At 35.4% G+C, this 12,333-nt stretch overlaps 1 protein-coding gene and 1 long non-coding RNA gene across 15 annotated transcripts in view; one reads left to right on the top strand and one right to left on the bottom strand.

The window, feature by feature from the left end:
- The window catches only part of EXOC1-AS1 (EXOC1 antisense RNA 1), a 58,421-nt gene that overhangs the window by 42,281 nt on the left and 3,807 nt on the right, over positions 1-12,333 (top strand). For 2 of the 6 annotated variants that reach the window (XR_002959795.2, XR_002959794.2), the window contains one exon: positions 4,578-4,897. The exons of 2 other annotated variants lie outside the window; for them this stretch is intronic. This is a non-coding gene — a long non-coding RNA (EXOC1 antisense RNA 1). Of the gene's footprint in view, positions 1-4,577; positions 4,898-12,333 lie in introns of those variants that run through there. 2 more of the 6 variants (XR_941069.4, XR_941068.4) reach the window with 2 other exon arrangements.
- The window catches only part of EXOC1 (exocyst complex component 1), a 51,439-nt gene continuing 39,751 nt past the window's right edge, over positions 646-12,333 (bottom strand). For all 9 annotated transcript variants that reach the window (XM_005265747.4, XM_017008405.3, NM_001024924.2 and 6 more), the window contains 5 exons: positions 11,952-12,180; positions 8,832-9,015; positions 5,848-6,047; positions 3,194-3,388; positions 646-1,389 (listed from right to left, as the gene is read on the bottom strand). In XM_005265747.4, the coding sequence (XP_005265804.1) occupies positions 1,237-1,389; positions 3,194-3,388; positions 5,848-6,047; positions 8,832-9,015; positions 11,952-12,180 (961 nt within the window). In that variant the 3' untranslated portion in view covers positions 646-1,236. The remainder of the gene's footprint in view (positions 1,390-3,193; positions 3,389-5,847; positions 6,048-8,831; positions 9,016-11,951; positions 12,181-12,333) is intronic.

The raw sequence follows: 12,333 nt of genomic DNA, 5'->3' as shown, positions 1-12,333 counted from the left end.
TCTCTTCCTGGTTTGCAGACAGCTGCCTTCTCATTGTGCCCTCCCACAGCAGAGGGAGAGTGAGCTCTGCTGTCTCTTCCTCTTCTTACAAGGGCATTGAGTCTATTGGATCAGGGTTCCTACTCTTCTGACCTCATTTAAACTTAATCGTCTCCTTAAAGACCCTATCTCCAATACAGCCACATGGGGGGTTAGGGCATCAACATAAAATGTTAGTAGGGCCACAATTCAGGATATAGCACATCTTTTGTTAGAGTTAGTCCTAAATACTAAACATCTTCAATATTATTATTTTTCTTATTTTTTTTTCAAGTGACAATATCTTGCTATGTTGCCCAGGATGGAGTACAGTGGCACAATCACAACTCACTCAAACTCTTGGGCTGGGGCAATCCTCCTGCCTCAGCTTCTCAAGTGGCTTAGATTATAGGCATGTGCCACCACAAAAAATTGTTCTTCTATGGAGACAGGGTCTCACTGTGTCGCCCAGACTAGTCTCAAATTCCTGGCCTCAATCAGTCCTCCCTCCTTGGCCTCCTAGAGTGCTGGAATTACAGGCATGAACCACTGCACCCGGCTTACTTTACTTATTATTAAACTTTTAAGTGTTTTGTGGTATATAAACTTGCAATTAATTTTTGTATATGGATTTTGTAAGAACTTGCTTTAATACAGAAGACAGCATATGATAGACCTAAAAATATTATCAAATGTCAACTTTTTTGAAAATTTATTTCACATTTATTACTAGTCACATAATCCTCAAAAATCTAAGTTCACAAATGATCATCACATGAGCCCTCTTCTCCATATACACATTTGTTAGTGTGAAAAAACAATTTTGTACAGTATTTTAGTAGTTACATGATTAGCAAGCAACAGAGAAGTAGTGAAAGCTGAAGAACTCCAAATGCATTGCTCATAGGACAACCACTCAAACACAAGCAGCTAGGCAATAAAGGAAAATTTCCCATCCAGTCATTGAGAAATGCTAAAGGCATTTTATGGTGACATGAATGCTTAAGTTAGTATGCAACCTATAGGGCAAATAAAACTGCTATATAGGTTGGTAATTTTGCATTTAAATATTTGTAGTATGGTACTACCCATTTATCTAACATTTAATAATACATAAAATTTTAAGTCTGGGTTCTCAAAACAGTTGCTTGGTATTTTGGTATAGTGTCTGTTATACTCAAATGCTTCATTCAGTTATCTTTTCTTCTTTCACAAGGTTTAGTGGGACTGTGCAATGCTGGAACAATAATCCAGAATGTCCTGAATAGTGAATTCCATTGTAACACCAGATCCAGGATAACAGCGAGCTATCAAACCTTCAAAGTGCTTATACTGGCGTATAAATTCATCTTGCATGGAGTGCCACACCACCTATTATTAAAAAAAAAAGTCATTAGGCTATGAATGGAAATAATATGTAATCTAGTATGCAGAAATAATGCCAAGGCATATTCTAAGAATTTGGGTAGTATAGTAGCTAGGAACATGCATTCTGAAACCAGAATCCCAGTCACTTTTACCTACAAGATTTGTAACCTTCAGTACATGACATCACTGCTCTATGCCTCAAGTTCCTCATCTATAAACCAAGATAATAATAAGACCTTCCTCATAATGCTGTGAGAATTAAATAAGAAATGTACATAAAGTGCTTCAAACTGCGTTTGACACAAGTAAGCACTCATGACATTTTAGCTATTATCTTATATACTCCAATATGCAACACAGATGTGGATATGCACAATTATGTATAGAACTAAGACTAGTGATTACATAAAATGTAATGCTTTAATTTCATTTCCTATAACATTTAAAGTTTTCTTTATCTAAAATTGTTGATGCAAAACCTTGCTTGATGCCTTGGAGGACAGCAAAATGACTCAGACCCATTATCTGCAATCATGTGATTTATAATCTAACAGTGGAGGCTAATATGTAGACAATTACCAAGACACAATGTGATACACACATTGACATAATGGCTTAAATAGATTACATTAATTGAAGCTTACTCTTTATCAGCACAGTACAAAGCACTTTATGAATATATTATAGTATTAAGTCTCATGATGACCTGGTGAGGGTGGGTATTATGATCATCTTCCCTATTTGACAGCTGAGGGAATGTATTCTTCCAAGATTTTTTCTTGTAAATCCTAAATCTCATAAATCCTAAATTCCTGCCAACTTAAGACCAATCGCTATTCCCTAAGCAGTGTTATGCTTTTTACTTTTCATCGTTTAGCTCATATTATTTCTTTCTAGAATGCTACTCCCTCCATCCCCACTTTGCCTGTTCAAGTACATCTGACTTTCAGAGGTTAAAACAAACAATGCAATATCCCTCAGGAAGTCTTCCATGATGTTGAAATCAGAATTACTCTCACTCATATCTGGGCCTTTCAATATGGTTTATAAAGAATAATGGCCTAATTTGGACTTTAAATCTGGCTCCACTACCCATTAGTTAAGAGAGCTTGGTCCTATTACTCCACCTCTCTAAGCTGATTTTCTTTCTTTCTCTTTCTTTCTTTTTCTTTCTTTCTTTCTTTTTTTTTTTTTTTTTAATTGAGACACGGCCTCACTCTGTTGCGTAGGCTGGAGTGCAGTGGTAGGATCATAGTTCACTGGAGCCTCAATCTCCTGGGCTCAAGTGATCCTCCTGCCTCAGCTTCCCGAGTAGCTGGGACTACAGGCACGTGCCACCATGCCCAGCTAATTTTTTTAATTTTTAGTAGAGACAAGGTCTTGCTATGTTGCCCAATACAGTGGCTACTGTACAAGAGATGTATCGTTTCCACTTATCAAATAAGGAAACTAAGGCTCAGAGAGGTTAAGTAACTTCCCAAAGTCACACAGCTTAATCTGGAGCCAGATTATGAACCCATCTCTAATTCCAACCACTCAACCAACCAACCAACCAACCAACCAACCAACCAAAGAAAAACAAACTTAATGCCTCACCATAATATAGCAGAAATACGAAATAAGCAGAAATAGCCATATATGCTTATATAAACAGTATTCCTTTCTTCCTCACAATTCATTAATCTGGTCTGTACTCTAATGGAACTCTCCTCCTGCTCTAGATCTGTAGCATTTCTAGAAAATTATTTAAAGAAAAGCAATATATGTAAGGATCTTTAAGTCAGATGGTCAAAAGAAGTAAGCATACCTGAAGTAAGTTCTCTTCTTCACATAAATGTTTATCAACTTTCTTGTAGAGGTTATCTAGACCTTTTTTTACTTCCTTTCCAGGGTACTCCTTAATGACTTTACGAAGTTCTTGTTTGTTAAATGCAAGTTGGTAACTTACTTCCTCCTCCCTTATGCCCTGTGCCACGCGAGCTTCAACACCTTCAAAGAAATGCTTCAAGGAAATGAAAAGAAACAATGGCTAAGACCTGCATTTATTATTATTTACATTAAAAAAATCTGATTACAAAGTAGTGTATAATCACCATGCAAAAATCAGTGTGTGAAAGTATAAACAATAAAATAACAATCACTTATTAACATACTTCTGAGATGAACATTGTTAATATTGTAGAGTTCCTTGTAATCTTTTGATGTGTGAATACATACAGGAGATTAAAATTTCATGTCCCACTTTACATTTAATATTGTTTTTTCCTAAATATAAATTTTAATGGCTGCATAATATTTCACACAATGACTGAACCACAATTATTATTCATTCCTCTAGTACTAGATATTTAACATCCCACTCCCCCTTCTTTTTTTGGACTTGGCAAATCTAGTGAGACTTTAGAAAATCTACTATAAATATATTTGTCATAAATTTTTTTTGTATATAAGTATTTACCCATCTTACTGATTAAATTTCCAGGACTATAATTACTCTGTTGAAGAGCATAACTTTAAGTATTTGAAAGATTCTTCAGTATATATACAAACTGCTTCCTAGGAAAGCTCAACCAATTTATATTTCTGTCAACAGTGTATGAGGTTGCTACTTCACTATACCATCATAAGCATTATGACAATTTATAACAATAGTTGCCAGAGTAAAAAAAGTTTGTCATTTTATTTTATAATTCTTTGGCTATAAATAAGGTTAACCTGCTTTTATATGTTTAGTAGTGATTCAGCCCCTTGCCCCATTTATAAATTGGGGTCTTAGTGCTTTTCTTATTGATTTTAGTAAGATTTTTTATATTAAATATACTGACTCTGTTATATTATTGTAACTATTATTCCCAGGTCTTCTTTTATATATATACTTTTATTGACTGGCATAACTGTATTTGAGCACGATACAAAGAATTAATGCTGACAAACCCCATTCCCTCTCATTACTTTTTTCTAAAATTTTCTTAGTGATTATTCATTAAATTATCATTCTTTGAGAAGTTATTCTTAGTGCTTTAAAAATTTTGTTTTTACATAAGCTCTTAATTGGTAGACAGGAAATACATTGTTTTTCAGTATATTTGCTTTAAATTTTGTCACTTGACCAACACCAGTAATTTCAACATATCATATACAGGTGGTGATAATCTCGTCTCTGTTTTCCATATCTCTTATTTATGTTTCAGGTCTTGTTGAACTGGCTAGTGCTTCAACAACAATGCTAAATAATAAAGGATCTAACAATATTTCTGCTTTAAATTGATTTCAGAGGGAATGTCTCTAACGTTGCAGTTAAGTATCATGTAAGCTTTAGGCCTGAGATAGATCTTTTATCCAGTTAAAGGAATATTTGTCTGTTCTTAAGTTTTATAAGGAATTAGTTCTGCATTTGATTAAATGTCTTTCAAGTATTTCTTTGAATTGTTGACAGCAGATACATATTCTTTTTTTTTGTTTTGTTTTGAGACTGAGTCTTGCTCTGTCGCCCAGGCTGGAGCGCAGTGGTGTGATCTCCACTCATTGCAACCACCACCTCCTAGGATCAAGTGATTCTCCTGCCTCAGCCTCCCAAGTAGCTAGGACTACAGGAGCGTGCCACCACGCCCAGTTAATTTTTTTTTACATTTTTAGTAAAGACGGGGTTTCACCTTGTTAGCTAGGATGGTCTCGATCTTCTGACCTCGTGATCCGCCTGCCTTGGCCTCCCAAAGTGCTGGGATTACAGGTGTGAGTCACCGCGCTATTTTACTCTAACTTCAAGTTAAGAGCTTATAAAAGATAACTATATTGCAGACAAAGTTAGTTTAAAAGGTTCATTTAAGCTTTCACTATCTTGTAAAGTTCCCTAAAATCATCATTTCTTAACTTTAATTAACAGACTTACTCTGGGAAATGACTCAAGTAAGGAAAAAAAAAGAAGGGAAAGAAAAGTAAAAGGCAATGTAGAAAGCAATTTTTGGTTTTTCTTTTATCTTAATAATATTTTTGAAATTTCCACCTAGACATTGTAAACTTGGTCATTTATAAAGTAAGAAATGGGAAAGAGTAACGGCAAAGCCTAATCTAGGTTCATCCCCCAGCTTTGTAATTTATAAGCTATTATGATGTCGGGCAAGTTTTTTTACTTTCAGTTTCTTCATTTGTGAAATGGGGATAATATTATCTTAGCTTACACATCATTGTTTATAAGAATTAAAAGAAATAATGCATAATAGAATACTAGTACAATTATCATTAAAATATAGTAGATAAATAATGTATAAAAATAATGTACAGAAAGAAGAAATAAAATATATAGCATCTAGCAGTGTCTGGCACACTGGCAGCTTCAATAACTGAGTCCCCTGTGCACCAACACATGAGAAAATTTAAGATAAATGTCTGCAGGTTATTCATATGCAAACTTATGTGTATAGGTTCAAAAGTAGGAAAAATACTGAATGAAAATATATTTACATTTAGTTTTTCAAGAGGTTGTCCTAAAGAGTAAATGACATAAGACTGAAGGTGATCTGTGTATTTTTGTTTGGCTTCTTTTTTTTCTGCTTCTAGACATGAGATTTTCAATCGAGAAAGAGTTGCAAAAATATGGTGAAAGTTTTCCATCATAACCACATCCCTGGGGGTCTTCTGGCTTTCATTTGCTACTTTCTCCACTAAAACCAAAACAGAAAAAATAAAATAACATCTCTGAGTATGACCATATTTAGCTATAAACATTTATACTATTAATTTTTTTTCATTTGTAAGTTTAAGAATTAAGCACATTTCTGGACTTAATACAATATATTGTAATGGGAGTCTTCAGATCTACCTAATCATAATAAAAAGTCATCCTAAAACAGTCCCATGTGTATATGGAAATTCAGTATATAATAAAAGTAGCTTTTCAGATCAATGGAGAAATGATGAATTATTCAAAATGTGTTAGGACAACCGGCTGGACCATTTTAATATATGAAATTTAAGTTCCTACTTTACATCTTGCAGTCAAATTCTAAATTGCTAAATTATTTAAAATGTAAAAAGCAAACAAATAATACAATCATAAGTACTAAAGAAAATATAACTAATAGAAAAATAATAATTTTGCAATAGTGTGACCTTGCTAAGAATGGCCCAAAATTTAGAAGACTGTTAAGGGGAAAGATAAATAAATTGGAGATAAAATTTGAAAATTCATGTAAAGTAAAGACACCATATACAAAATCAATGAAATGCAAAATAAAATAGTGAGATAATTTATAGCCTATCAGGTTGACAAAGAATAAAAAGATTGGTAATACCTAGTAAAACCCAGCATTGGTACAGCTGTAATGCAACTGCTCATAGCACTAAACTGACATAAGCTTTCTGTATCACAATTTGGGAAAAGACTTGAGATACATAAATCCTTTGACCCAGTAATTCCATTTCTAGTAATTTACCCTAAAGAAATTATTTGACAAGTATACAAAGATAGATAAACTAAAAAAATCCTAAATGTTTATTAATAGAAGATTTGGTAAATGGATAATGACATATGGATGACTATGCAATCATTAAAAATGATTATGTTTATCTATATTAACTAACTAAGAAAGATACTAAGATTATATAGAGTCCAGCAGCTTCAAAAATAGTGTGTCAGGTATGACAACACTTTTATATTAAAGAAAGCACACATACAATATGCCCATATATAGAAGAGAGGGACAGGGAATTTAAAAGTTTGGAAGAATAAAAATTTAACATTATCTCTGTACAACAAGATTAAAAATGATCTTTACTTTCTTCTTGATTTGAAAATTCTATTCGCTGATTTTTGGGGATAAATAGTTATTTATGTTTCAGGTCTTGTACTGGCTAGCACTTCAATAACAATGCTAAATAATAAAGGATCTAACAATACTTCTGCTTTAAATTCATTTCAGAGGGAATATCTCTACTGTTGCAGTTAAGTATCATGTAACCTTTAGGCCTGAGATAGATTTTTTATCCAATTAAAGGAATATCTGTCTGTTCTTAAGTTTTATAAGTTTTAGTTTATAAAGATTTATAAAGAACGAATAATGAATTCATTCATTCATTTATTATTTATTTTTAAGACAGGGTCTGGCTTTGTCATCCAGGCTAGAGTGCAGTAGCATGAACAAGGCTCACTGCAGCCTTGACCTCCTGAGCTCAAATGATTCTCCTGCCTCAGCCTCCTGTGTAGCTGAAACTCAGGGACACACCACCACGTCTGGCTAATTTTTTAAATTTTTTTTGTACAGACAAGGCCTCACTATGATGCCCAGGCTGGTCTTGAACTCCTGGGCTCAAGCGATCCCCCAACTGGTCCTTCCAAAGTGCTGCGATTACAGGTGTGGGCCACTGTGCCTAGCCACATTACTTTAGAATCAGATAAAGCAAAGCTACTTTGAATTTTAAAAGAAAAAATCAAGGCTGGACACGGTGGCTCATGCCTGTAATCCCAGCACTTTGGGAGGCCAAGGCGGGCAGATCACTTGAGGTCAAGAGTTTGAGACAAGTCTGGCCAACATGGTGAAACCCTGTCTCTATTAAAAATACAAAAATTAGCCAGGCGTGATGATGCCTGCCTATAATCCCAGCTACTTAGGAGGCTGAGGCAGCAGAATTGCTTGAACTCGGGAGGTGAAGGTTGCAGCGAGCCGAGATTATGCCACCGCACTCCAACCTGGGCAACAATTGGTGAGATGATTCCATTTTCTATCAATTTTTTAGCTTTTACAATTCCTGAATATATGCAATCAGATCATTTATTTCAGATGAAATGACATGTCCAGACTTTTCTGTAACTTAATTGTGGGATCTGACACAGGAAGAAAGCGAATTACAGTATTTCAGCACTAATTTCTCTTGTATTTTAGTACTAATTTCCTTGTATAGTAGATATGAAAAACTGAGTCCTAAATAAGTGAATTGATTTGCTTAAGGTTACACACACATCACAGCCCATCATCTCTAGAAGACCACTTGTTAAAATGCAAATGTAATCTGGAAGGTCATGTTTTTGTGTTTAAAAAATGATTTTCTACAAAAAATTAGCAGGGCATGGTAGGGTGCACCTGTAGTCCCAGCTACTTGGGAGGGTGAGGTAGGAGGATCTTTTGAGCCTGGGAGGTGGAGGTTGCAGTGAGCCAAGATCATGCCACCGCACTCCAGCCTGGGCGACAGAGTGAGGCCCATCTTAAAAAAAAAAAAAAAAGATTTTCAATTTTGCATAGTCATAAGCCCACATAAACCCTAAAATGTAAGTGGTTCATAATGAATACAAATAGGTTTTATTTTCCAAATTCAAGAAATCTTTAATGTTAGAAAACCTAAAAAAGATTATAAGATATACAAAATAATGAACCTATCTGCTCCCGATTTCTTAGTTACCAGAAATAAAAACAATAGCTATAACAATTCTTTAGAACATAACAAAAGCTTACCATTAACAAATACTCCTCTGATAAGTTTGGTGTATGCTTTATCCAGGTCTCCACGACGCTCAGCATTTTTGAAGATTGATTCTGCAAGTCCAGCAAATTCTTCAAATTCAGCAACAAATGGAAGAATTCCAACTTTACTCTTTTTTGAGATCTTTACTTCTTCCATTTGCCTTATTTGGTTACTCTAAAGTTAGGCAGAGAGCAAGGGAGATAAATAACCAAGCAACTTTAAAACTACATATAATCATAACAAAATATATAGATGGAGATATAGATATATACATAGATATCATAGAGGCAGGATATTATGTGGTACCTAGAACACTTTGGATGCTTACTAATTGAAGATGAATCAAAACAAGGATAACTAAGAAAAACTAATTCTATAGATAATAAAACCATTTTACAGTAAGTTTAAGAAAATCAAAATAATACAGATTATTTAAAACCATCTATAAGCTGGGGACGGTGGCTCATGCCTGTAATCCCAGCACTTTGGGAGGCCAAGGTGGGTGGATCGCTTGAGGCCAAGAGTTCAAGACCAGCCTGGCCATTTTCGTCTCTACAAAAAATACAAAAAAAAATTAGCTGGGTGGGGTCGTGCATGCCTGTAATCCCAGCTACTTGGGAGGCTGAGGAATGAGAATTGCTTGAACCTGGGAGGCAGAGGTTGCAGTGAGCCAAGATTGCGCCACTGCACTCCAGCCTGGGTGACAGAGCAAGACTGTCTCAAAAAATAAAATGAAACAAAACAAAATACAATCAAGGCCGTGAACTTCAAGTCTCTGTACAAAGTAAAAACAGTCAACACACATTTCTACCATTTATGAAAGATGAGTACAAGGCAATTACTGATTTTAGGTTACAGGAGAGAAGATTCCAGAGCACCTATAGGATCCCTCCGGGTAACTTCTGGTTGGTGGCCACGTGGTCAAGTTTGAGAACCACAGTCATTTCCAATTTTCGTCAGTCTAAAATTTCTGTCTGGATAGACAAACTCTCTATTTTCAGAGTACAGAAACAAAGAGGGAGGATAGGCATTTCCATATGGATTTGCATTATTTAATTTTCCATATATTTATTAGTCACTTAGCCTTAGTTCCACAAACTGCTTGTGCATTATATGACAAAATGCGAAAGAAATGTTTCATGCAGACAGAATCTTAGGTTCAAAACGATCCACGGATTCAATTATGGTTCTATGATTCTGAAGGGATCTAAATCTACTCAGTAGGAATGATTACACTGCCAAATACTTTTGTATTATTTCAGCTTCTACCTAACATTTCATTGTGTTGAGATTTGGGGAGTATAACTCAAAAACCATATGACACATGGATTAGAAAAATAATTATCTCTAGGCTTCTGACATTAGTATAAGAAAACCCTAAGAGTATAGTCAGTTATTTCATATTATCTGTACTAATGTTCTACTTCATCAGTATTGGTAACTGTGAGGTGAAAAACAGATGCAGTAGAAAAGGTAGTGGTAAGATTGCAGGTACTAGAACCAGACTTTCTGGGTTTGAATACAAGATCCATATTTTTTAACTGTGGACCTGGGGAAAGTAACTTCACCTCTCAAACAATCTACCTTATTGAGGGGCTGGGTTTAAGATTAGATGACATAATGTGTGCAAAGTGCCCAGACTTGTGCCTGGTACACAGTAAGCACTCATTTATAAATGCTGTCTATTGATCTTATTGACCAGTGTTCATAAATGAGAGATAAGATCTTATCAAAAATAAGACATTATTGAAATAAGATATACAGAAGTATGACAGGCAGAAGAAACCACCCTCCTCTTCAGTGGCAAACCTATGTCCTTTATATATATATATGCAACTTATGAGAAAATATGAATTTATATCTTTGTCTAGATTACCTTCTCTAGTGCCATGCCTTGAGAAGTGTTCATGAAGCATTTTTTAACCTGGCCTAGCCCAATTCATACATACAAGTATAAAAAATGTAATGGATAGATGGCCGGTGTCTCTTGCTTGTAATCTCAGCACTTTGGGAGGCTGAGGTGGGCAGATCACCTGAGGTTGGGAGTTTGAGACCAGCATGACCAACATGGAGAAACCCCATCTCTACTAAAAATACAAAACTAGCAGGGCGTGGTGGCGCATGCCTGCAATCCCAGCTACTCGGGAGGCTGAGGCAGGAGAATCACTTGAACCCAGGAGGCGGAGGTTGCGGTGAGCCGAGATTGCACTGTTGCACTCCAGCCTGGGCAACAAGAACGAGACTCCATCTCAAAAAAAAAAAAAAAAAAAAAAAAAGTAACAGATAGTAAGAAAGTTGTCAAATTTTTTTCTATTAGGAGGAAAATGATAATTGCTCAGTTATAACAATTTATTCCTAAAATAAAATACAATTATTAAAGCTACTAAACTATTAAAATAAATTAAATAATTAAAATAATCAAATTAGTTTTCTTACTAGAATGTATTAAAAGAAGAACAATAACAATAAACCCAAATGATTGTTTCAATTGTTTCATTAAATCAATGGTCATTGACTAATAAACTGAGATGTCAGTGATTCGGTAGATTTTTTTTTTTTTTTTTTTGACACAGTCTTCACTCTTGTCACCCAGGCTGGAGAGCACTGGTGCAATCTTGGCTCACTGCAACCTCCACTTCACAGGTTCAAGCAATTCTCCTGCCTCAGCCTCCCGAGTAGTTGGAATTATAGGCATGTGCTACCACGCCCGGCTAATTTTTGTATTTTTGGTAGAGATGGGGTTTCGCCATGTTCTCCAGGCTGGTCTCGAACTCCTGACCTCAGGTGATCTGCCCACCTCGGCCTTAAAAAGTGCTGGCATTACAGGTGTGAGTCACTGCGTCTGGCCTCCAGTGGATCTCTTAAGCAACTGGTGCCACTGTGCCACTTCCTCCAGAACTTGCCAAGATTCACAGTGTGGAATGGAAACTAGCTGGCATAGTGCCACCCAACTAACTCTGTTCATGTAGATTGTTGCCATGCCCTGCTTCGAGGGACATAAACAACAGATTCCCCAACAGAAAGCTGGAAATCCCTCGATTTTAAATACATTTACCTATATTTTGCAATGACTAGGATGCTAAGGTATTTTTTTAAAAAAGAAAACTTACAATGCATTTGTCAAAGTTCCTTTTGACAGTCACCAAAACATTTCCCAATGTAGTACTTAGGAAAGAAGCAGGGTCCACATTTTGTGCAGTCCACACATGATGACTCATTTTGACTAACATATAAAGAGAGTTAAAGCTATCAATTTTGTCTCCTAATGCAATTAGGTTGTTCAGCTCTGGCTCAATGCAGCGAAATATTTTAATCATCATTTGGCGGATCATATCTTTCCTGTTCAGAAAACAGACAAGAAGTATAAAGTTATAACAAGCTTCAGGTGAATTCACCGTTAACTTTAATCCACTGGGTATATACAAAAGGACAAAAATACCATAATTAAATTTCAATTAAAAATGTCTAAATAGCCAGGCGTGGTGGCTCACG

This window comes from Homo sapiens, chromosome 4, assembly GCF_000001405.40.
Source record: "Homo sapiens chromosome 4, GRCh38.p14 Primary Assembly".
In the NCBI taxonomy this organism is placed as follows: Eukaryota; Metazoa; Chordata; class Mammalia; order Primates; family Hominidae; genus Homo; species Homo sapiens.
Note: the sequence above shows the minus strand (reverse complement) of the source record. Positions and strands in the feature narration are given on the sequence as shown.